At 34.1% G+C, this 26,736-nt stretch overlaps 1 protein-coding gene across 7 annotated transcripts in view; it reads left to right on the top strand.

The window, feature by feature from the left end:
- The window catches only part of OLFM3 (olfactomedin 3), a 194,367-nt gene extending 169,576 nt beyond the window's left edge, over positions 1-24,791 (top strand). For 4 of the 7 annotated variants that reach the window (NM_058170.4, NM_001288823.2, NM_001288821.2 and 1 more), the window contains 3 exons: positions 2,106-2,325; positions 21,169-21,275; positions 22,436-24,791. In NM_058170.4, coding sequence (NP_477518.2) covers positions 2,106-2,325; positions 21,169-21,275; positions 22,436-23,113 — 1,005 coding nt within the window. In that variant the 3' untranslated portion in view covers positions 23,114-24,791. Of the gene's footprint in view, positions 1-2,105; positions 2,326-14,204; positions 14,942-21,168; positions 21,276-22,435 lie in introns of all 7 variants that reach the window. The other 3 variants (NR_110211.2, NR_110210.2, NR_110212.2) reach the window with 1 other exon arrangement.
- Positions 24,792-26,736: the final 1,945 nt, after the last annotated feature.

Here is a 26,736-nt window from a genome sequence, read left to right as displayed (position 1 = left end):
GAGTGAGACTCCGTCTCAAAAAAAAAAAAAATTCTTCCTCTGTTACACAATTTCCATCGTATCAAGAATGTTAAGTAGGTTTTGTCTTCTACACTTTTTCAGATAGAAAGCTTATGCCAACTACTATACTTGAGATTGACATTCTTATATGAAGAGATTGATGTTGGCTCTACTCTAGCTAAGAACTTGGATGTAAAAGCAGCATAGTAGAAAGTGAGATTCTAGAAGAGATTAGCAAACACAGGTCTATGCTATTCTACTGTAATCTTTTAAGTATTTGATATGAGCATTGGGTGGACTTTCCAATGCTCTCATATAAGTTTTCAGAGTTTCACAATTGATCGCTAATAATCAAATTATGAATTGTTGAAAAGATTAAAAAATATAAATATCTAGTTTTGAATTGAGGGAGAAGAAAAGCTACCAACATTTTGACATTGAATTGCTCTCTTTTAAATATGCCCATAGTAGAATGTAAAACCTTTGATTGTAACAGTTGTTATAATGTGCAGAAAATGATAACCACAGAAATATTTTCATTAAAATCCTAATGAAACAATTGTGTATTCCTTTAGGGATACCACAAGATACTTTAATAAGTCTATTTCCAAATGAGCTGACAAAATGAGCAAAGCACTGCAATTCTGCCTTTGACTGTGATATTTATGAATCTTTCTCATTATTAAGTCTCTCCTTAGCCTCCCACTCAATATGTACATGTGAACAAATTCAAAGATTCTGAACTTACAGAGCAAGTGGAAATTTCCCCACAAGAAACTCAAACCCATAAATCAGGGCAGCAATGGGAGCTCCTGCTATTTTAATGCATTTATAGTAATAACATCTCCTGAATGTAATTTAAAAATGCAATTTTCAGCTCCTTAAATCAGTTAGTGTACAGTATAATTTCTGACAGCATCTATGTATTATTCTCAAATAATCATAAGAGGGACTGCTCTTTCCACAAATGACATTATTTCCAATAAATTCACAATTGAATCAAACTCCTGAAATAAATAAAGAAATATTTATTTATTTTCACTACTATTTTCACTACTATGAAGTTAGAGAGAAAGAAGTAACGGTGACATGTCTAGAAACCCAAGGTGAAACTGTAGGCGTGCTTCAGTCCTGTTACGGCTAGGGGTGAGGGATACTGCTTGACAACATACACTGTGTGTGTGTGTGTGTGTGTGTGTGTGTGTGTGTGTGTGTGTGTGTTTGACGAAAGTCAATGCTTCAGTTTCAAACAACTCTGTGTAACTGGCTCATCTATTACATAAACTACACACCTTGGTTTCTTAAAGAGTTAATTCGCCACATGGGCAAGCAATTCTGCCATACATAACGACCTTTAAATTATCTATGGTAAGATAAATGGAGTCGAAGTACAGGTAATAATTCAAAATAGTAAACAGTAACATACCTTTATTTGAGCCTTGGGACACTTCATCTGATTTATAACACTTACTGAACTTACCTTCATAATGAAGTTGTGCTAAAATTGATATTTAAAAGTTCAAGGAATACCTGAGCACAAAGGAAAAACAAAGTTGGTTGATGGCCATGATGGAAAAATTCTAAGTGTCAGAAAAAAGCTGATCCAGAGTCCACAATTTTCTGTATGTGCCCCATAACATGGATACTTAGTAGGTGGATGATTAGACTCAACTGAACAATCATAGGGTATTGACCTATTTTCAATCACTTTATTCAAACTTAATTCATAATTAGAAGATGGATTCTGCTTATATTTCCTAACTAGATAATACATTGTTCACTATATAAAATGTTACCAGAAAATGAAATAGTATATAGTCCTAGTTTCTACCATAGGAAGTTTTTCTAATTATGATAAGGATATATTTGTTATAGAAAACTAAGCATTAAAGAAAGATTCTCATATGGAAAAGCTGAAATAAATGGACTTACTAGTAATAATCACATGACCGCTTAAATTTTCACAAAATACCTAATTTCAACCAAAAATCAATAAGAAATGTTGAAGCTGTTTTAATAATTTCCTTTAAGTATCATAATAAAAAGAACAGAGCAGCATGATCTGTTTTAAATGACTCTCAGGAACAATAGGCTGCTTTTCACAGGAGTTGAAAGAGAAAATGGACGAGCTCCTGCCTTTGATCCCCGTGCTGGAACAGTACAAAACAGATGCTAAGTTAATCACCCAGTTCAAGGAGGAAATAAGGAATCTGTCTGCTGTCCTCACTGGTATTCAGGAGGAAATTGGTGCCTATGACTACGAGGAACTACACCAAAGAGTGCTGAGCTTGGAAACAAGACTTCGTGACTGCATGAAAAAGCTAAGTGAGTATGACAATTTAATTTGTCTAAGTTACGTTTTTATATAGTTTCAAAGAAAATTGTGCTCTTACGTTTTATAAAGAGTCATAAAATATCTAATTGTAAAGAAATCAGAGCCCATTTTCTAAGTGTGAAGTGTCCCCTAATGACTTAAGCATGTCTGGGTACTCTGTGCTAGACTAATGGTTTCTTGATTTTTAGAGCCCTGTGTTACCATTTGGTGGCTTCAAATAAGTAATCTGGCAAATACAGTCAACTCTATGGACTACACTAGTGGATATACATTTTATTTTCCAATATGTGATATCAGTCATTGCTTGGCTAGTGGAAAAAGAAACTGTTTTTTGTTGTTGTTGTTGTTGTTGTTGTTGTTGTTGTTGTTGTTTGGTTAGTGGGGAAATTTGGAGACTAGAGAAAGGAAAGTTACCCTGGGACCAAATGTCAAACAGCAATTATTAAAGCAAATGGAAATAATTCCTCCAATTTACAGAATTGCCATCAACTGCTCTGATCTACTCAAGAAATGAAAAGGTGGCAGCTACTTAAATAGGTACTCACCACTGTGTAAAGAGTCAAGCATGTGACATGCATGGGTCATGGACTCTACTTCTTACCTCCTAAAATGTGTGGTCCAATCTGGTCTGAGTTACAAACTCTTTCGTGATATCCATGAGCTAATTATTTAACTGAAGTCAACATGGGACTAGTCTGCAACTTGAATTTAAAATAAATAAGTGGCTATGAATTGAATAAGGAGGAGCTACAAGTTAATTTAGGATCAGTATTTTAGTTGTTGACATGATGCGATATGACAGGGAGGGCAAGTCAATACCCATAGAAAGTGTTCTCTCAAGATAAATAAATTCTTTTGTGGATCAGGAAAATTGGGAAGAGAAGTAAAGCACACACACACACACACACACAAAAGATTAATTTCTAGTAAAGAAAACTTCAGTGAATAAATGTAAACATTTAAAATAAAATTTGAGTGGCTTACAAGAACATTGTAAAGACTATTTTACAAATATGCTTCAAGTGATAAAAAGGAATCCAAAATGCAAAATGTTGCATTCAGTTATCACAGCCTCAAAATAGTGTGGGAAATTGCTACATCGGAGGCTCCACTGTCATCATACCAGGATTTCTAAGAGAATCCAACAAAATGAATCAGGAGGAAATAAGGTAAACCTGAAGGCCGAAACACATGTTCAAGAATCCTCAGTTCTTTATTCCTCCTCAAACACAGTCTACATTTTCTCATTTACAGTTGGTCTTCTAACAATCAACTATATATAATAGATTCTGTGACTCCAGTTTTCATTCCTCTCTAACTCATTGTACACATTATTGCCAAAGGGATTTTCTGAAGTATCAATCTGAAATTATTTTGCTCTGTTGAAAATCTCCTATGGATTCCTTATGTTGTAGGATACAGTCCATGGCTTATGTGACCCTTCATGTGTGGCCCCTTCTGCTTCTCCAGGCTTAGCTTTTGCCACTTCTCTCCTCACACACTAAGTCCCAGTCATGTGTGCCTTACAATGTCTTACCATGGAGTTGTTATAAGATGCTGTTTGTTCCTGCTCCTGAAACACTCCTTCCCCTATGTACCCTGCCTCCATCAACGCACTTTCACCTGCCACATGTGATAAACTATTCATTTGTCAGGTCTCAGTTTAAATGTTGTGTCTTGCTAGAATCATTCATTGCCCTCCCAGACTAAGCTGGTGTCCTCGCTAGGCACTTCCAAATCCTGATATTTCACTAATGATTGGACTTCTCTTGTTTCATTATCATTGCATGTGTAGCATAATGTGTCTTGCTAGACTTTTTTTCCGAGGACAAGAACAATGTCTATCATGTTCACTCTACATGTTGTATCTTCCAATGCCTAGAAAACTACCTGGCAAAGAAAAGTCACTCAATAAATATCTGGTGAATAAATTTACTCTATAAGGAGTCATAGGAATAATTTCTACACTTTTCAACCATATTACCTATTTCAAGTAGCAGAGAATGATCTATTTTACTCATAACAAGAAATGCATCTTTTTAGCCACATCCTATTTGAGTCAAAATGGCAGGGCATGATAAGACTAAGCAAGGGAAAAGTTATTTATTTAACATAGCACTTAAATAATTATTTTACATGCTCTGCTTTTATAATTCAAGTTGTGGAGTTTATGGTTAATATACAATAGGTAAACATTGCTTACATAAGGAAATTCTGCTGTTATATTTGATTCTTTTTATATTAAGAAATATCTTTAGTTTAATGCCCATATTAGTGACAGGGCTTGCCAGATGGTGTCTCCATAAAATAAGATAACAAGTAAATCTCAAATGAAGAATTACCCAGTGTCCTCAACAATATGAAGTTTACAAAGAAATATCCAGATGCATTTTCTATTAGCTCATAAAATATCTGGTTAAAGATTTTCTGCAAGTGACAATCTGTAGGATTTGTCTGTGTAGGGCTTTGACTTGCTTTTGAGGAGGAGGTCCATTTGTTATAGAGAAACCAACCGTTCCAGACCCTGAGAATCAATTCACTCTTCCTAGCATGTCACAATAAACCCAAGCACATAGGCATTGCATGTAGTGAGCCGGCATCTGCTAAGTACAAATGCACTCTACTGAAGCAAGGACAGGCAATAGGATGATTCTAGTTAGTAAACCCCCTGAAACCTAACGTATGTCAGTTATGTTTTTGAATGAACAACACAAAAAACAACTTCTGGGATTTGCTCAATTTTATAAATGAGCTTTCCTTCTACAGGTATTCTGTCTGGTTTACCTAGATGGAAATAATTTGTACTGCAGTTGGGTAGTTCTATATTCTCCTCAGCTCTTTTTTAACCCCATTTGTTTGTTTTTTCTAACCCACATGTAACCCCCCAAATATAGCCTCTTCCGATATTTTGGACAAAGATAGTTAATCTAAGTAGGCACGCATTCATCCTTTTTATTCTTCCTATTGAACTTTGCATAATATTTCTATAGCATCCTTATGCTTAGGACTTGATCCTTAATATCTGTAACATCACAGATCTTTTTAATTAATTTTATCCAGTGGGCCACAATGTTAGAAAGAATTTGATTGTCAAATAAACTGCATTAGTTAATCAATATTTATTTTTATTTTAGCTAATCTAAAACAAAACTTGGCAACTAGTATAATACAAATATCAAATAGCAATAAAATCGGTATTCAACTTTCTTATTTAATGAGATGGTTGCTATATAAGTTAATCGAGATGACTTTATAAAATACTGAAAATAGTTCCCACATTTCATAAATGCTTTCATAGATTATTAGCAGCCTTCAGTTTCTTATTTACTTAGTAGAGGGGCCATTGTCACAAACAATGAATGTAACTCTTTCATGCTTTTTATCTCAATAACTGGTTAGTTTTTACTATCCCAACATGTTTAGGTCAATTAACCACTTATTGAGCATCTCCTGAGCAAAGAGGATATTTTATCCGCTGGACCACAACCCTTAATTACAATGTAGAAAACGTCCAGGCAGAGCCATACAGTCATTATACAGTGAAGTATAAAGCCACATGGTTACTGAAAAAATAAATAAATGAAACTTCATATTTTTATTTTTAAAAGAGCCACTCTACTTGAAAGAAGATGTGTGGTAGTATATATTATATATGTTGTTATATTATATATAGTGCATAAATATATGTATGTATATAGACAATTGCAGAAGAAATCAAATATATAACTTTTAGTATAGCAGTAGGTTATAGTTTGATTAACACTCAATTTAGTATTTACATTTCCTGGCAATTGGTACAGTTTGGATCAATTCATCTCTGAGAACCCTTGAACTCCAAGGCTAATATTATCACATAAACAAATACCCAATTATCCATATATCAGAATGCATAGACTTGGGGAAGAAAACTGATGTTAACATCAGGACCATTAACAGAAAGGGTAGAGAAAGAAAAGCATATCAGGGGTTCAGTTGTTCCAAAAGGGCCTATAATCCAGTTGCTATGCTGCTCAGATCTAGAGTGGGACATTGGATAATTACAGAATCAGCAATATAGTAACAACAGCAAGAAGGCTTATTCATCAAAGACATCTTCACTCTACACAAATGCTTCTCAACCCACACAGCCAATTAGTAGAGGGTAGAAATGGATTAGAGAGAAACAATAAAATTACAACAATGATGAATGTGTTTTCCCTCACTTTTTCAGTGGATTTGCTTTTAAATAAATGTCACAGCATACATCACATGAATTTTAAGATGCTAAAAACCAAGCTAGTCTTATTGCCTGCAAAATCTAGGTTACCCCCAAATAGTAAATAAGATCCCGAAGGAATCATAAGTCATCAAGACCACTGGGGCACCATGGGCACCATTTTGCTTATTTCTACTAGAAAATTAAAGGTTTGGAGAAATTAGGAAAATCTCTCAACAGCGATGGACCTCTGGCCTGAATGAGGTACAGTAATGTCCTTTTCTAAGTTCTTAATGTACTCCAATGAAAGATGGAATAGGATAAAGTCCCCTGTTCTTAATTGAATCATGTCACATTTCTAGATATGCAGAATGTAATTGTATGGATGTGAGAATTTGACTGAAAAAACATGATTGAAGTTTGTACACACCCCTAAGAACACCAAATAGATATTTAATGTAGATTATAATAAGGCTTTCCAGCTTTCCAGTCCTCTGCCCCAACTCCCTCCTGTTAGTGCTGTTTTAGGGCAATGGTTTGGTGCCATCTAGTGAAGCATTAGGTTCTATTACACAGCTTTGGGACTTCATGTTTAACAGAAGGAAGATTAGAAACTTAAGGTCACAAGTAGAGACTTGAGTTACTGTCTTTACCGTTTATGCCAAATTAGTTTTTAAACAAGAACCAAAGTATCTATGGGCTAATATTTTAATTTAACAATTATTTATTGACTCTCTAATGTGTGCTGGCACTTTGCTAGGTATTTGTGGATACAAGGATGGGAAGGAGACCATCTTCCTCTTCCTGTCAAGGTTATATTTTAGTGGGGACAACTGACACATAAGTCAATAACTCCAGCAATATTGGATGCCTACTGCTTGACAAGCGCTAGGCCAGCTGCTTTGCATGTGCTATTTCAAATCTATGCAAGAACTCTGGGTTAGGCATTAGTATCAACTTCACTAAAACAGATACTCAGAAAGTTTAAATTAACTTGCCAAAGATTCATGTTAGAGGCAATCACTTTACATGGAAGTCCTTCTGAGTTCAAAGACTGAGATTTCTTTCCCCATACATAATGTCTTTTGTGGAGTACAAAATAATAAAGACCCCCCCAGATACCTCAATAACTTTAATTTAATGACTAGAACCACCATCCACCCAATTGTTGTAGAAAAAAAAGAGGCTAGATTCATTCTTAATTCTTCTCTGAACTTCACACCGCCATGCAATCGCCACATCTTTTATCTCCCCCTCACCAATTTCTCAAAACCAGCTCTTCTGCATCCTCACTTCCACCAGCCGAATTCAGAGTGTCATTCATGATTTTTCAACTGAATTACTCAAATGGCCTCCTGATCATTTGTTTTGGCTCTCCATCACTAAAAAATATTTAGTGTGATCTTTCCCCAATACAAATCTTGTTATATTACACCTGTATTCAAGTGGTTTACCTTTAAAATGGAATCCAAACACCTTTGCATGCTTTGTCTTCATGAAATGGGCTCTGCCTGATTCTCCAGGCCTTGAGTTCTCAGGTTCTCATCATGCACTTACTCTAAGCTTTAACCATTCTAATCTTCCAGTTTCTCAATTGCGCATGCTTTCTTTACCTTCTTGACATTGAACTTGCTCTCCCTTGTCATGGGACACCCTTCCTTCCCACTTTAACTATTCCATGATTTTTCCTTAATGTGGTTGGAGTCCCCTGGCATGGTCTCCCACAACCACCTCCCCTACTCTCCCATGACACTTAGTACATTAACATATTTTACAGAAAATGCCCATTTGTTTTTCTGTTTTAAATCTTTACACCCTTATAGATAAATTCTCCCTGCACTGAGAGATCAGAATCAATGTCTTGTTCTAGTTGAATTTCTGGAGACCATTGCAATATACCTGAAACACAGTGGACAAAAATTAGTATCTGCAGAATGGTCAAGAGCAAATTTGATTTGTAAAATCAAAAGCTTTAAGTTGCTTTCAAGAAATAAATCAATGTGTGTCAAATATAAAACACATCGATATCTTTTACAAAGCCAAAAAGCTTTTGGGGGGAAGGAAAATAAAAGCACAGCCTTTTTTCATGTTTGTTGTCATTGCCAACTGTTCTCTCTTCAATGGCAATGCAGTATTTCATTCCAAAACATCTGATACTTTGTTTTATTAGCACTTAAAGCAAGAGACACGAAAGATCTCAGTGAAAGCAGGAATTAACAAAAAAGTCAAGCTGTGTGCCTGAGGTAGAGATGTGGGAGATTTGACTCAGAAATGCAATGGAGGAAATTTATAAGACTATTCCTTTAAATTAAATTGAATCTTCAAATAAGTCATTTACCAAAAACAGTCTTGCTCTTCCCAAAATTCTAGGTTGTAAAATAGAATGGCAATGTCTCCATTGCTATGCATTTTATTCTTTCTTCTGGAACTCTGGAACCTTAGTTATATTTTAGCCATATTTTTGGTAATTGGTAAATTTTATCATATATTTATTTATCATTAATCCTCCTCTTATCTCCTACATTTTTCTAGATTATAACTAAGTTATGAGCCTCTTAATAATATAAAACCTGTATTTCCAAAGTCAAGTAGGAATTGTAAAATTAGTTGGGATTTCATAACACAAGTTGTCATTCAGTTTGAATGCTGAACAGGCTTCTCCTTAAAGATATGTTCATAATTAGGCTTAATCCCAGAAAAGGTAAAAGGAAGAGTCAAGGGAGTTTCAAAAATAATTTAAAAGGTGAAACTGTGTTAACTTTGAAAAATGTTGGTTATTTAGAATGTTCATATTATTCTTGATCCCATTAGCCAGATAACCATTAGAAACTCATTCCGGTGCTCTATCCAATACAACATTTTAAATATCCATTCTTATCCCTACCTTTACCTCACAAATATAACTCATAAGGCTAGACATGCAAATAAAAGTTTAAATAATATAAATTTATTTTACTACCAAATGTATGGTACAGACAAACTTATTTTAAGTACCTAAATAGGTAGACTTTAAAGATCAAATCAGAAGTATTTCTTAATGCATGAGTTCTCTAATGGCCTTAAGTAAAAAGAAATAACATTCTGTCCATAAACATATTCAATAATCCATTTAATTTGTTTATAAGGGCATAGCCTTAGGATTCAAATCCAGAGCTATTAGTGCAGGATATTACAGAGTACAATTATATAAGAAATAATTATATATATGTAAACAAATAAAAGAGAGGACAGATGGTTTTTACACTTCGTTAGTCCAAACAACTGATCTTCCTGCTGAATCCCAAATGATATCTTTTCCTGAGCTACTGATTGATAAATATGGATTGTAACTGACTATAAGAAATTTAAAGTCCAAAAGTCATGATAGAAATAAAATGGTCACGGTCACTTTCTTCAATTACTGCATTTGGTAAGATGTATATTTCAGTACATTTTCTGAATATATGCAATGTGCACATACAATATTTTATAAATGCTAATGTTTTCATATCTTACTGCAGACAGAAGAGCATAGCAGGAGAAAATCAATGAAGCAAGACTCCTAACTTCCTTCTTTGCCATCCACCTTTGCAGGAACATTTGTCTTCCAGGCATTTGGGAAAATTATCCTCTCTGTCTGGCTCCCTTTGTCCTCATAAAAAGTGAGAGTAAAGTGAGAAAGATAATGATTTATTTGAACAAAGGCTAGTGTGAGGAAGCTGAGAAGTAAAAAATGACTCTTATTGTTTATTTTATTTTACCACATTTTACAGTATCTATGCTCCATTAGAATCTGGAGATACCTATGTTACTTAACACTAAGGTACACAAAATTATAAACAAAGACACTGCCAGTTTTATACATTCCTGTAACTTTAATTTTGTTAATTTCATTTGGCAAGATGAATTCTAGCTTAGGAAATCAATAACCATTTGTAAGGGAAGCATCTACTAAGAAGAAATCAACATCGAGAGCTCTGTCAGCTTTTTGCTTCCTGAGAATAAGGGTAGATGATGGTGATCATAAACATAACGCTGATGGTGTTTATTTGACCACAACCACAAATACCACCTTCTGTCCACCAGCATATACATGCTATTGATCCACTATCTATTCAATGTTCCCTTAGTTAAAATGAAAAAATGTCAAGCTTCAGAATTTTCATTTTATAGATGAGGAAATTCCACTCCAGAGAATAAGGCATTGTCCAACTTCATACAATGATTGAATGCTGTGGCCTAGATTTGAAACCAGGCTTCCTAACTCATGCCTCAGTGTTCAAACCTGGATGGAATATACCACTCTAAGAACATTTCCTGTGAAATTGATGGGAGTAAAAACAGACAGACACTCACACACAAAAATTATAAAAGGAAAGATAGGCACATGATTACTCATGGTTACTAAACAGATTAAACTACCATCTGCTCATGGGATTCATTTATTTAATTATTGTCTTTCACAACATCAGCGTATTGCTCCCTACTAGATTATTTTTATAAACAAACCTTTCTTAACCATCATCAGCACAACAATAAAAACTTCCTGTAATCTCATATTTTCCTACTCCTGTCTCCCTGCTTCTTTTCCCTTGAAAGAATCTTTTATAGCTGCTACTTTGGTTACGTTCTTTTCAAACCAACTTCGATTCATTTTCTGGGATCACCACACTTTTTCTGAGTTTTGTAATCAGCAGTGACTCTTGCTGCCAAATTTTATGGTTATTTCTTTGATCTTATGCTGCTAGACATCTTAGTGGTGTTTTTCACAGGTCAGTACTATATCCTTCTTAAAACACTTTCTTCTTTTGGATTTCTTAATACCACGTTATTTTTTCTATCCAACTTATAGCTTATTCTTGGGCTTCTTTGATGAGTCTTATAAATATTGTGATTTACAGAGTTCTGTGCTAGATACCTTTCTCTTTTCTGTGTATGCCTTCCCTCTGAGGCAATATGTAGCCCCTGGCTTTCACTGTCATCATTATGCTAAAAACCATCAAAACTGTTTTGTCAAAACTCAAAGGAGTATCTGTTCCCTAGATTTATATGCTGTTTCTACTGATACGTGTAATAGTCATGAACAACTTAGAATTATCCCTGTTGGATTCTTTATTTTTGCTCCCAAACCCATTCCTCCCTCAGTCATTTCATCCGAGTAAATGACACTACAATCTGTCTAGCTGGACAAGCCAAAAATCTAGATGTTATCTTTGATTATTTTTTTTTGAGTTTTTAAATTCCCTTTCCTCACATCTAATCCAAAGCCTAGTCCTATCCACTTTATTCTAAAAACATACCCCAAGTCCATCTACTTTTCTCCATCTCCACAACTGCTTCCATCATCTTTCACCTAAATCAGCCTGATAACCTTTTTTTTTTTTTTTCTTTTTTTGAGACGGAGTCTTGTTCTGTCACCCAGGCTGGAATGCAGTGGCGCGATCTCGGCTCACTGCAAGTTCCACCTCCCGGGTTCATGCCATTGTCCTGCCTTAGTTTCCTGAGTAGCTGGGACTACAGGTGCCCGCCACTACGCCCGGCTATTTTTTTTGTATTTTTAATAAAGACGGGGTTTCACCGTGTTAGCCAGGATGGTCTCGATCTCCTGACCTTGTGATCCGCCCACCTCAGCCTCCCAAAACTGATAACCTTTTAATGAGACTGTTTACACTCTATCCACTCTACAATTAATATTCTATACAGTAGCTAGAGAGATCTTTCTAAGGTGCAGCTTACATTCTGTCATTCCCCTCCCCCTTTAAAATAATCCAATGACTTTCGATCATTCGTAGAATAAAATCCAAATCTTGTCTTCACAAAGTTTACAAACAATGTGGACTACTGGACTACTCATCTCTCCAATCTCGTCTTCTTCTGTTCCAAGTGTATTCTAAATACATTGATCTTCTTTCTGTTTATTTGCTCCTCTTAATTCATCAAGCGTATTAAGGCCTTTGCAATAACAATAATAATAGCTATTATTTCTTAAGTACTTAACTATGTACCAAGCACTATTTTAAACATGTAGCCATATTTTTTATTTAATCTTCTCAATAACACTTTGATACGATATTATTTCTATTGTTACCCATGAAACACTGAGAGGTTAGAAAATTGTTCAAGGTCTCCAGCGAATAAGGGATAAAATCAGGATTCAAATCCAGGCCGACTCTTTAACCCATGTCCCCAACCACTTTAAGATGCTGCCTTCCCCTAGCTATTCTCTAAATGGCTAAATCCACTAAACAACTGCTCCAGTAAATAAACTAAATGCCTAAATGTCCTTCTCTTGTCAATAAGATCTCAAATTAAATGTCACACACTGAGAGGTCTTCCTTACCCTCCCAATATCAAGTAGCTCCCCAGTCACTCTTTATAAAATTGCCCTACTTAAATCTTGGCATTAAATTTATTTCTGTATGATATGTTTAGTTTGTTTGTTTATTTGTTTTTTAATTTATTCTTTCTGTCTTCTCACCAAAATGTAAGCTTCACCAGAACAGAGGTGTCATGCTTTCTCATTATTGTTAACTCTAGTATCTGGAACAGTGCTTTCTGCTAAAAAAAAAAAAAAACCTTAGCTGGGTGAATGAATAAATAAATGAATGAAGCACATAGGTCACATACAAAAGCTGTTCTTTTAACCACCTAAAAGTTTGCTTTCTACGGTAAGACTGACTGGAGTAAGAATCTATTTTCCCCACAAAACCAGGTAAAAATAAGAGTCAACTAGCCAAAAGACCACTTTACATGGTCATCAAATGTGGAGAAACTTTATGCAAAGCACTTTGTCCCCTACTCAGTGAAAAGTAAAGGACATTTTCATACATAATTATCATATACCTACCTTGGGTTTTAAGCAAGTGTATTGCTTTGGAGTGTAATATTTTTAATGTATTCACTATTTCAGAATAAGAAACCGAAGATGCAGTTATTATTTTTAAATTGTTAATGCTTTGGGACATTAACTCTTCGTTTAAAGTATGTTTCTTAGATTAACACTACAAATATTAGTTTACCCAAAGGATTTGACTCCAGGAATAAAAGTTGTGATGGACTGAGGTCAAATAAAGAGTAATAGCAGGAAGACAAAGCCTGCAATTGGGCATTTTGAGTCACTGGTCAGAGAGAAGATAGCTAATGGATGACAGACATGAAGCAACCTGACAGAGAGAAGATTACACAGAGGAGAATCAAATAATGCAAAACACTAAATTCATAAGTGTTCATAAGACCTTCCCTGGCCAACACTAGATATATATTGATTTCCTGATTATAGGGATAAGTTTCCATCGTACAGACAGAACAACTACCTTTAAGACACGTGTGCAGGAACAAATCGGTGAGCTATGGTGAAATATAACTATATTTGATTTTTTTACTAGACACACATATTCATTTTTTATAAACACTAAACATGGAACAGTAGTTTAATTTGCTTGTTTCTATGTTGACAGCTTATGAGTATGTTTTGTGGAAGAAGAGTAGAGGCAAATATGGCTAAACATAAGATATATTTCAGGTTATCTAAGAAGACTGTCTTAACGGAATGCTGTTATGGTACAGTACTCATGACTGAATTTCAATAATTTTTATTTAATATTGACAAATATTTAGTGCACTCATTGCTATGTCCTTTTCTTCTCAATACAGATTTGGTCCAATATAACTTCTTTCTTTAAATTTCCTTTCCAGTTGATTTAAAAAAGAGAAAAGAAGAAGAAAAAAGGCAACAGAAAGGAGAAGCATAAGCAATAGTATTTTGGGAAGCTATAACACGCGACTTGCCTCCCTGTTCACCTTTGTATTCTCAGCACCTAGAATAGTTCTGGTACAAAATAAGTTCACAGTAAATGGTTGTCAAATGAATAAATTAATTATTATATCTTTAAATAGTAACTATTGTTTTTACCCTCTAACATATTTCAGAGAAATGCTTAGTGCTACAAGAAAGTAAAGTTTGCTTTCTAAGGTATGATTGACTGGAGTAAGAATCAATTTTCCTCACAAAACCAGGTACAAAATAAAAGAGTCAACTAGCCAAAAGACCACTTTACCATGGTCACCCAATGTTTAGTTTAAGAGCCAGAAGCTTTTAACCTCCGGTACAAATTCTGTCCTAAGTTTTGGCCGAAACAACCTAAGACTCAGCAGTATCCCTTTGCCATAGAGATGCAAGGCTGGATTAGATTCAAGCACCATCGAAGCCAAAGACACCCCAAGCCAGTGATGTGCTGTGGGTTGTTTGGAAATGTCGATTAGATAAGGCTCATGGTATGATTCAGAGCTCCAAGGACAGTTCTTGTTCAGGTTTCAACTAATCAACATCGGATTATGCACACCTCAACATCTGAAATATGCAGACATTTGAGACAAATACCAGAATTGTGTCTTCTTGCTTTGTACAAATCATGCTTCAGTCTGGCAATAAGGTACCTATACCATAGGAGGCAGTTTCGCTGGTAAATCAAACTTCACTTTGAAGTTTAATTTTATATATTTTTAAAATTACACTTTAAGTTCTAAGGTACATGTGCACAATGTGCAGGTTTGTTACATATGTATACCTGTGCCATGTTGGTATGCTGCACCCATTAACTCGTCATTTACATTAGGTATATCTCCTAATAATATCCCTCCCCACTCCCCCCACCCCATGAAAGGCCCCGGTGTGTGATGTTCCCCTTCCTGTGTCCAAGTGTTCTCATTGTTCAACTCCCACCTATGAGTGAGAACATGTGGTGTTTGGTTTTTTGTCCTTGTGATAGTTTGCTGAGAATGATGGTTTCCAGCTTCATCCATGTCCCTACAAAGGACACGAACTCATCCTTTTTTATGGCTGCATATATTCCATGGTGTATATGTGCCACATTTGCTTAATCCAGTCTATCATTGTTGGACATTTGGGTTGGTTCCAAGTTTTTGCTATTGTGAATAGTGCCGCAATAAACATACGTGTGCATGTGTCTTTATAGCAGCATGATTTATAATCCTTTGGGTATATACCCAGTAATGGGATGGCTGGGTCAAATGGTATTTCTAGTTCTAGATCCCTGAGGAATCGCCACACTGTCTTCCACAATGGTTGAACTAGTTTACAGTCCCACCAACAGTGTAAAATGTTCCTATTTCTCCACATCCCCTCCAGCAGCTGTTGTTTCCTGACTTTTTAATGATTGCCATTCTAACTGCTGTGAGATAGTATCTCATTGTGGTTTTGATTTGCATTTCTCTGATGGCCAGTGATGATGAGCATTTTTTCATATGTCTGTTGGCTGCATAAATGTCTTCTTTTGAGAAGTGTCTGTTCATATCCTTCGTCCACTTTTTGATCGGGTTGTTTGTTTTTTCTTGTAAATTTGTTTGAGTTCCTTTAGGCTCTGGATATTAGCTTTTTTCAGATGAGTAGATTGCAAAAATTTTCTCTCATTCTGTAGGTTGCCTGTTCACTCTGATGGTAGTTTCTTTTGCTGTGCAGAAGCTCTTTAGTTTAATTAGATCCCATTTGTCATTAGTTTGGCCATCTAAAATGTTAAGTCAAACTCCATAACTACAAAATCTGTATTCACTTGGACAATAGAAAGAACTTGAAGTTGCCATAAATTTTTACAGATTGTGTTTCCGCTTGGTAATTTCCTCTGAGTATAAAGTTTTGTGGGAATGCACATTACATTATGTTTGTTTCATATTCGAGACATTGTATTAATCTGTATTCAGAACAAAATTGGACTCAACTGACTTCTGAGATCCTGTGTATGTATATTTTTTCAAATAATAATAAAAATCATTCACATTTTTAAAATATTTTTAAGTTTTAGACTAACATTTTCTCCTTTAACTAGTGGATCTTCAACAGGAGTATATTTTTCCAAGATTGTAATCATTTAACTACTTTGAAAATGCATATCATTCATACTTGAATCATATGTACAGTATCTTTTATTACAGCTCCTGCACATTTACTAACCACTGTAAATTTATTAGCTTTGATATATATATTAAGTGATAAATATTATAATTCATAATATAAATTCTAATTTTTTAAGGTTGAAAGAATTAAAGAGCAAGAGATTGCTATGTCAATAGTAAGAGTTAAAAGTTTAAAGAACAGAGTTTCAATCTATTCCTTACAGGATAAAGGCCAAATTAAAATGCAGAATATTCACAGTTTCCACTTCTGCAAACTATTCACATCTTCCATTTTCATCTACTTCCTGGTCCCAAGGAAGCATGGCATGTAAAACCTGGAAATGATTTTTCAAAAGGGAATATATAAATGTGATTTTTGCTTTATAAAATTAAAGGCTACTAAATTTTTGCAGCTATTTCAACTTTTTACATTATAACCTAAATATTGTATGCGTGTAGCTGGAAAATTGTATGCTTAGAATAAAAAGCAGTAGTCTCCTTCTTTAGCTCTGCTCCGCAGTTTCAACCACATTTAACAGTTTAATTTTAGGGCTATTAGTGATTATGTCTATATTTATATTAACATGCTTTTTTTCTTCAATTATTTTGGTTTACAGTTTTAGACATTGTTTATTGACTTCCTGCTCTGCAAGATGAGGATTTAGATAACTTCTCCAACTCTGCTTTCTTTCATGTTTCCTCCTAATATGATTTCATGACTATTCACAGTTCAACCCTATCAATGTTGTAATTTCAAGTCTTAGATTTGAATCTTCATTATTTTTCAACAATAGGAAAAATCTCTTACCTCCATATTTTTAAAATACGAAGACAGTTACACCCCCATCTTTCTTTCCATTTCCTCTCCCAATGTTTAATTCTCTAACAACGTGGACTTTACCTATTCTTCCATGTTGTCATGGTTGGAAACATTTTGGCTTTCCTGTAATCACAGAGCAGATGAGATCTGTAAGAAGTTTTATGTAATTAGTTTATGGGCTGATTCTACAAGTTAGACATGAGTGTTTACATTATTATAGCAATGTTTATATTGTTCCTTGGGAGCTAAGTGGTGGACTTAGACACATTTCCTTCCTCTTTAAGCCCAATGTCATATTTGTTCCATTCAATGGAGGCTATTACCAGAGTTAAATTCAAGTGAATTATTTTGTATACATCAATAAATGCCTCTGCATTACCCAGTTTCTCTAGAGGATCTCATACAGTCTATCTATGTATCAATTCCACTTATTTCTGAGACCTCCCTCTTGGAACTGTGTTTCCATTCTGGGCTGATTATTCTCAAAGCCCACTGCATAGTTGTCATTCTGGGACAGGAAGTCACTATTTTCTTGTCTGATGTCTTCCCCTGTCTTGGTGTACTCACTGCAATATATCCCCAAGTAATTTCTGAAGAAAGAGTTCATTGTAGGTAAATTTTTGGAAAGTGCACATGTTAAAAAATATCTTTATTCTGTTTTCCTCTGATTTTCTTCCTAAATATAAAGGCCCTCATCATTGTCTTCTAGCATCCAGTATTGGTGATGAGAAGCCCAATTCTGGTCTAATTCTACCTGTTTGCATGTGACAAGCTCATATTCTTTCTCTAAAAAGTTTCCATTTCAATTTACTCTTAATCTTCTAACATTTCACAGTAGTTTTTTAGAACTACTTTTAGTAGATCTTTTTTTCATTCATTATCATGTGTTCTTTTAATCTGAATATTTAGGTGTTGTTACTGGGGAGATTTCCTGTATAATTTCTTTGATAATTTTCTCCCCTCTTTTTCTCTCTCCTTTCATTCTAGAAACCTTGCTCTCTGGATGTTGGAGCTTCTAGATTGATCCTAGATGCCTCCATATTTTTTCTCTTATTTTCATTTTTATCTCTTTTGCTTTATTTTGGAGATAACTCTTTTTATCTTGCAATCTATTTTTTAATATAATTATATTTTTGTTTTCTAATAGTTCTTTTGTGTTTTCCTTTTACAATACTCAGTATATATTATACAAATCTCTTAGAAGGTACTAGGATCTTGTCTATCCTCTGAGTTATCTCTTCTGTGGGGAGCCCTGGTTTTTCTGAACATTTACATCAGTCATTCTTACAAACTTTTTGAAAATATCTGGCCATCCTCGGTTATACATATATTTTTAAAGTTTTGAACAATAAATGTGCTTGGAAACTCCTGTTATTAAGATAGGGCTTGGCAGTTCTTTCTGTGGTGAGTAGGCAGGGAAACCACCAACGTCATTGTGTAGGAGGCTTTCTTCTGGCCCTCCAATGTCTGTATTAATCACCCTAGGTATACTCAGATCACCAACACAGTTTCATATTTTTTTTCCTTTGCCTTCTGCAGTCCCGCATCTACAGATGAAGATGTAATCAATTGCTCTTAAGGCATGGTTTAAGTGGTGTGCCTGATTTCAGAGTCCCATCTCACTCCTAGCATTCTTTCTACTTATGTTTCTGACTCCTTTCTTTTTTCTCTTCAAGGCAGATCATCTCCCTCCTCGGGTCTCACTTGCTCTGCATAGACACAAATGCATCTTATTCCATCTTCATCTTTAATGACCACTTTTCATCAACCCTGCCTTCTGGAAATTGGTTAAAACTTCTTCACTAATGGCTCTTGTACCTTTGCTTTGCTTTTTTTCTTTTGTTTTTTTCCCCTCATGTTTTACTCCTTTACTATTATTTTAATGAGATCATAGAAAATGAAAGCAGATAAAATCATGTATCACTCCATCATCTTAAGTCAGAATTACTTTTCCATGCTTAGAAAAAAAATCACATGTTTTATGACGTTTTTAGGGGAAAAGAGAGGCCCTTCTATTTGTTACACTCTACTTACACTTGAAATTGTTATGCTCATATCATCAGTTGATTAAAAAATGTATATAGGACATTATTAAAAATAATACTACTTCTACTTATTCTGCATTCAGAAAATATACTCAACTAGAACCATTCAGAATATGATTAACATTTTCTAGTTCAAACCAATACTACTTTACTCATATATTGTTTATGTATTTGTACCAAGTAGAGCTTATATATTCTAAATAGGCTTAATGCAAGGTCTTGCAATTCCATAGATAATGTCATAAAGTCTTCTGAATTATTGGTCCAGTTTTACTGATTTGAGGAAATCATAAAGTAACCCACACTATGGATATAATGATGCCATCACATTTGATTTCTTTTACAAAAAGGGAAAAATATATTCGATTCAAGTTTTATGAAATGCTAGAGATTATTAAATTTGTAGTTATCACTAAACTAGTAGTGCAAAATATAATGTTACCATTCATCATCTTCCTAACTGCAAAGCTTAGTATTCTGCCAATTATAAATTATTCTTATAAGAAGCACATATAGAGAAAACTGAGCCAAAATAAGCTTCAAGTTATAGTTAGTTTGTCTTTGATTTGCTTTGGGTATGTGTTCTTTTCTTTCCAAAAAAACAAGAACCAACAGGAACTAATAGAAATTGATCAATTCTAAATAGTCAGAGGAGGAAAGAAGATATGTAGAACAAGTAGGACCCAAAAGAGTTTTAAGAAAAGAAATAGAAGAAAATAACATGATATAAATGGACAAGAAAGAAGACTTTTGTTTAGACCAAAACCCAACATTTTATAGGCAGTCATATTGCCTTTCACAATGTGTATGATTAATAAATCACTTCTAAATTTTGCTGTTCAAAAATCTCATAAAACTATATATTGGGTGCTATGCTTACTACCTGGGTGCAATATACCCATGTAAGAAACCTGCACATGTATCCCTAAAATAAAAGTTGAACTTAAAATAAATAAAAAAGAAAGATAAGCATAATAAGTGACCCAAACTAATATAATCCAGGTAAAGGGACAAAAACATTATTTTAAAATACAGTTAAAACTTTATAGTAATCTTTTTTTAAAATCTCACAAAAATGTCTAGCTTTCTGTTTGGTTTTGGCTTTGGAATTTATGAAGTCCAAGCTATTTCTAAGATCTTATTCACAGGTGGGCTGGGCTGATAAAAATATTACAACTTTTTTCATTAAAGTCTTTTTGTCACGTATTACATCTCTTCATCTTTCATCTGTATGTGACTTCAGGGTCTGAAGGTTTGAGTTTTGGGGGTTTTGTTCTTTGTGTGTTCATATCTGCCCTGTCAGACCTGTTAGCTGTATAAGGCATTTACCTTTAAAATCTCTACCTCTTTCTTATAGACTGTGATTGAATGTTTTATTCTTATAGACTGTAAAGTTATCTTTCTTGGGGGCTTCTTCTTTGCCAAACAGAATGAAAATCAATTGGTAGTGTTTTTCTGGCTGGTATAAGTTATCCATAGTCACAAAGCATGGGGACAGGGGAAGGGAAGGAGTTTCTGGCCATCAACTAAACAGGTCTATGGGCAATTTGCTTCATTTGTCTAACTTTTTACTTAAAAGTAGCAGCCACTGAACTGGTATAATGATAATGATATTCCTCATTTATTTCTTTCCGGATTGTACAAATCATTTCCCACTTTAAATTTTTATGTTTAAAATTTGGAGCATTGAAAAAGCAACTCCTCATGGTTCAATGTTTGGTTAAAGGCCCAGCACCCATTGTGAATAATCATTTATTCAGAAATGTGATATTAATTCCATGGATTGGCTTAGTTTTATGATCCCCTTCTTTGCTCTTAGTGTGAGTATGCGTATTGGAATCATTGGCTGCGTTCACCTAACACGTTTGTGTTTCTCTAATTTCAGCATGTGGCAAACTGATGAAAATCACAGGCCCAGTTACAGTCAAGACATCTGGAACCCGATTTGGTGCTTGGATGACAGACCCTTTAGCATCTGAGAAAAACAACAGAGTATGTTTCTCCCACAAACACCTTTGCTTAGAATTAAGTTCTGCTTACACTTTTTCTCTTCTGGACTATTCATTTTCTTCAGGGATATTTGTTTGTACTTGAAAACTGGTACATAATTTGCAAATATTTTCTGTTTGATAATATTAACATATCTACGAAAGAATGACAAATCTATTTTAGTAAAATGTTCCATCTTCCAATTCATCACTTTAGCAAATCTAATTTTTATTGATTTTAGTCATGTTTTATGCTTGAAAGGGGCTAATTTCCTGTATACTCTTTCTAAAATATGTTTAGTATGAAAACATAGCACTAAATAAGTGAAAAACTCAAGGGCAAACTTCCCTGCCTACTCTTTCTAAAATATGTTCTTTAGTATGAAAAAATAGGACTAAATAAGTGAAAAACTCAAGGGCAAAACCAATTTACTAAATAAGCTTAAATATCCCTGGAGTCTAGAAGTAATTTTAAAAGAAATAGCGCTGAAACTTCTGGGAGGTATTTTCATAAGTTGACAATGCCTGTGCTATATAAATCAATATACTAGAAACTTGCCATAGCTCTATTTATGTCCTATTACAGAACTCAGTAAAAATTAAGATTCTCTAGGGTTATTTCTAAATGAGGTTAGTTATTAAGTTAGTAAAATGGTTTCTTTAAAATGTAGTTGTACTTACAGGCTAGCCCAATAAACAAGTGTTTCTAGAAGATTCTATGGTACTTATTTCAATTGAATACGAAAAACTAGACTATACATTTTTTTCAGAGCAAGGGATAGAATAAATGTAATTTGCTGAAGGTTGTATTTGCTGTAGTTTTCACTGATGGCATTATTTATCAGGTGTAATTTGCATTGACATATGATTGGTTCACTCAGTGATATGCACCAAATGGTCAGGAATTTAAAAAACAAAGAGAGAAAAAGCAAAAAAGCAAATTAATGTCAAGGTAGTAAATTCAGTTATTTCTTTTCCACATGGACAGACCATAGCAATATTTTTACAAAAGCCTGAAATACATTGCGGCAGGTCAGCAGTAAGATAGTGTGGCTTCCAGAGCCTGAGAATTATAATAAGTGTTGACTCTCACTGTCTTTCTTTTGGGGTTATCAGAAAAGTACAGAATTTAGTCACTCCATTTATTTTTTTCCTTCTTCTCAGGTCTGGTACATGGACAGTTATACTAACAATAAAATTGTTCGTGAATACAAATCAATTGCAGACTTTGTCAGTGGGGCTGAATCAAGGACATACAACCTTCCTTTCAAGTGGGCAGGAACTAACCATGTTGTCTACAATGGCTCACTCTATTTTAACAAGTATCAGAGTAATATCATCATCAAATACAGCTTTGATATGGGGAGAGTGCTTGCCCAACGAAGCCTGGAGTATGCTGGTTTTCATAATGTTTACCCCTACACATGGGGTGGATTCTCTGACATCGACCTAATGGCTGATGAAATCGGGCTGTGGGCTGTGTATGCAACTAACCAGAATGCAGGCAATATTGTCATCAGCCAACTTAACCAAGATACCTTGGAGGTGATGAAGAGCTGGAGCACTGGCTACCCCAAGAGAAGTGCAGGGGAATCTTTCATGATCTGTGGGACACTGTATGTCACCAACTCCCACTTAACTGGAGCCAAGGTGTATTATTCCTATTCCACCAAAACCTCCACATATGAGTACACAGACATTCCCTTCCATAACCAATACTTTCACATATCCATGCTTGACTACAATGCAAGAGATCGAGCTCTCTATGCCTGGAACAATGGCCACCAGGTGCTGTTCAATGTCACCCTTTTCCATATCATCAAGACAGAGGATGACACATAGGCAAATGTGACATGTTTTCATTGATTTAAACAGTGTGATTTGTGATAAACTCTATAAGACCCCTTCCGTTTTTTTCTTCACTATTATTTTTCATCATTTCTCCAAAGCAAAGCATTTTTATTGTAAAGTTGGTGTTTCAAAAACATAGCTGAGCTTGTCTAACTTACCATGTTGGAAACACATCTTAACTTCTAAATTTACAAGGCCTATCATGTCCTTGTCATGAAAAGCACTAAAAAAAAAAAGAGTTTAAGTGGCTAAAGTCATAGTTTTGCAAGAGATTAATGATCTGCCTTATATTAGAGTCAGAGACTAATGGTGGCTTAAATGCACGAATGTCTTTTTTTTTAAAACTGTCATTTTTTACTGTCTTTTGCTCCATATCAGGAAATATTTTGGTAGGAATTAGGAGAACAAAAAGCACTTTTATCCCATTTATTTCTTTAAAAAATGTAAGGATTTCATTTATATTGAAAAATAATATTAATCATTTTGCTGTTAACACAATTCTCTGATGCGGTGCTGTACAGTCATTTTTAAATCTCTTGCTAACATTTTATTGGCAGTATGTATTTCTACCATTGTAACCACCATTGTGCTATTGTATCTCTTCACTTCTGTGAAAGTAATATTTTTTATAAAATACACTGAAATTTAACCTCAGTAATTGAGTCCATTTTCAAGTGTGGTCAAGAATAATCTTCTTGGCTTACCCCTTTACATAAGCATTATAAACTAAAATGAAAACCAAACCAGACACCTGACATAGAGTCTTTATTTTACCCCAAGTTTTTTGGGCCACTGACATTGAATGCAACAACTGATTTCATACAACTGAGTTACTCTGTTCACTCCACTGAATGCAACCCATATAGTTTCTTGCACAAGGTGCATCTGGATTCCAAATATTGGATTTGAGTTGACTCTACTCATTTATTATACACTAAAGAAATTTTGTTCTTCATAGTTAAATGTACTAGCATTTAATTTATATTTTACATACAACTTGCAATAATGAAATTCCTTATGTCAGGACCCTGAAAATAAGCACATTTGAAAACTCTTAGAAAAAAAAAATTCTGTAATGTCCTCTAGATTTAGATTATGAGCCCTGAGGAGTTATTGGCAAGATTTGTGCAAAATAAAATATGGGGAGACTTGGGAGTTGTCTTTGTGGTTTCAAAAGTGTAAATAACCAATTCAGAAAACAAAATGGAAAAACGACCCCTTGTTACCTTGATTCACTGTATGTGGAAAAATAATGTAACCAAAAGGGAAGAGCTTTAATAATACTTATGTTAATAACTCTATGAAACATATAAGCTAACTATATATCAAACATTTCATTGAGTTTGGATGTATTTTCCACATATTAAAAAAATAGTTCCCTAAGGCAGCTTTATGGAAACTAATATAGGTTGGTTTTACAATTTAAAAAGTATATTCTATAATAAATAATAAAACAAATTGTTTTAAATGTTTAGTTTCACACATACATAGTACCATGATTTTCTTTGAAAGATAAGGATGTAATGATTTAGATAAAGCATCATGTAAAGAAATCCTAACATTTAAGTGTAATTCATTTCAAATGTCACAAGTAAAGCATCATCCTCAAATATCTCACTGTCAAAATTGTAGAATTAAATAACCCAATCTTGAAACTGTCAAGGTTTAACAATGATTTCTTTTTTTGCCTACAAAAAGTTAACATGATTGAATGACTACTCTGGGTCCTTTTGCAATATTTTATTCTTTTTTTAACGAGTTTACATAAGCTCTGGTTTGCTACTGGGAGTTGGAAAATTTAAGAGATTCACTTGTCATTGTACACACACCACAAAAACAACCAGTCTGTGTTCCATATATTGAGTTTGTATGAGGAAAGAAAGTCACTTTAATTTTAAAAATGAATGAAATTTTAAGTAGATAGCCTCTAATAGATATCTGGATCATCATTACTTGTTTAAAATGATGTTATATGGTACCACATACATTCACAATTTGGCTGATCACAGCTTATTCATGAGGTATGAAACTTGCAAACCACTTTATTGTTTTCTATGTAAGATTTTATCATGATTTCCAATTTATAGTGTATGTGCTGCTAGAGCAAGCACAGATATTATTATTGTCACTAGAAGTGGGGAAACATGAATTTTAAAATGTGATAATCATTAAACATTTACAGTTTAAAAGCATTTTTTCTTAATAAATTATTATCAGTTTTTTGCCTGAAATAAATAAGAACTACTCTATTCACTGTTTTTTTAATCTCCAACAAAGAAAATAAATCTTACGAGGGAAATAATGAGTATTTTTAAATCACGCACATAATCAAAGCATTGGAGAAATCCAAGCTCAGAAAGTCTTAATCCTAACTGAACTACGTAACTGATATTTTCTGAATTGGCCAGAACATTAACAAGCTTTCATATCACTCAAATAATAATATGTTCATGGTCTGATTGTGTTTGTGTGTTATTTGTGGCGCTTGAATCACAATGCTTATTATTTGCACCTAAACTTACATCTACGAGTTCAGATAATGATAGTATTTCAGTATGTTTCCAATATGTAGAGATAAAAGAAAAAAGAACAGCAGATGTGTTATATAAATAGAACTATGATTAGTTAAGATTCATTACAAACTCCGAATCTCTGATTCGTGTCTCCATACTCATGGAGTCATTTCACCTTTGTAGTCAGTATTATTCTCTCTGATGAGATCTTCTCTTCAGAAAATAATGTTAATTTCTTATCGTTTCTTCTTTTAATAAGAAACAACAAGCTTTTATATCTTAAAATAATTACCAAATTTAGGTGTATGAATTTTTCAACCAGCAAAATTATTTTAAAAATGTAACTATATAAAATTATGCTTATGTTCATTTCAAAATAAAACCAATTATTTCCCTATTAAGGTAAGTTTTACATGTAATAGTTCTTTAGTGTTATTCTCCTTAAAGAATAATTTACAAAAAAATTTAAAAACTTATCTGATCACTTTAGCCACTGCAGAGTATTTAAAAGTCAAGCTTTATAGAAATATAATACTTTGGAAAACAGAATCCAAAATGTCATCTTGTTGACTTGTTAGAGTAGTTATGATTATATTCTTTGTTGTACTCTGTGTGATAAAGTTCCCATGACATGATCAAAGGTTGGATGCTCATGAAGGAAGAAGAGCTACTCTATTCACTGCAGCAAGAAGGAATCATCTATGAAGCAGGAAAAGGGCCCTCGCCAGACACAGAATGTACTGGCACCTTGAGCTGGGACTTCCCAACCTCCAGAACTGTGCGAAATACATTTCTGTTGTTTATAAGCTTAAAAAAAATGGACATCTAGAAACAAAGTGTACTTCACTTTCTCCATCATCAGATGATAAGTAGAACATGAGACAAGCTACTATGAAATAGTCTACCTAGTGTTCTAGGAAAGGAGCATGAATTATATGCGGACTCTATAGGATGAAACAAAGCCTTCATTACTTAATGTTTATAGCTTTAAACAGTTATTTATAGAAAGGCCCAGAGTCATAAATATTCACTCAGCAAGCAGTATCCATACTGAAATCAAGATTGTAGAATCATTTCTCATTCTAAAAGTTAACTAAACTC

The sequence above is a fragment of the Homo sapiens genome, chromosome 1, assembly GCF_000001405.40.
Source record: "Homo sapiens chromosome 1, GRCh38.p14 Primary Assembly".
NCBI lineage: Eukaryota > Metazoa > Chordata > Mammalia > Primates > Hominidae > Homo > Homo sapiens.
The sequence above is the reverse complement of the archived record's forward strand: the minus strand, read 5'-3'. Positions and strand labels throughout refer to the sequence as shown.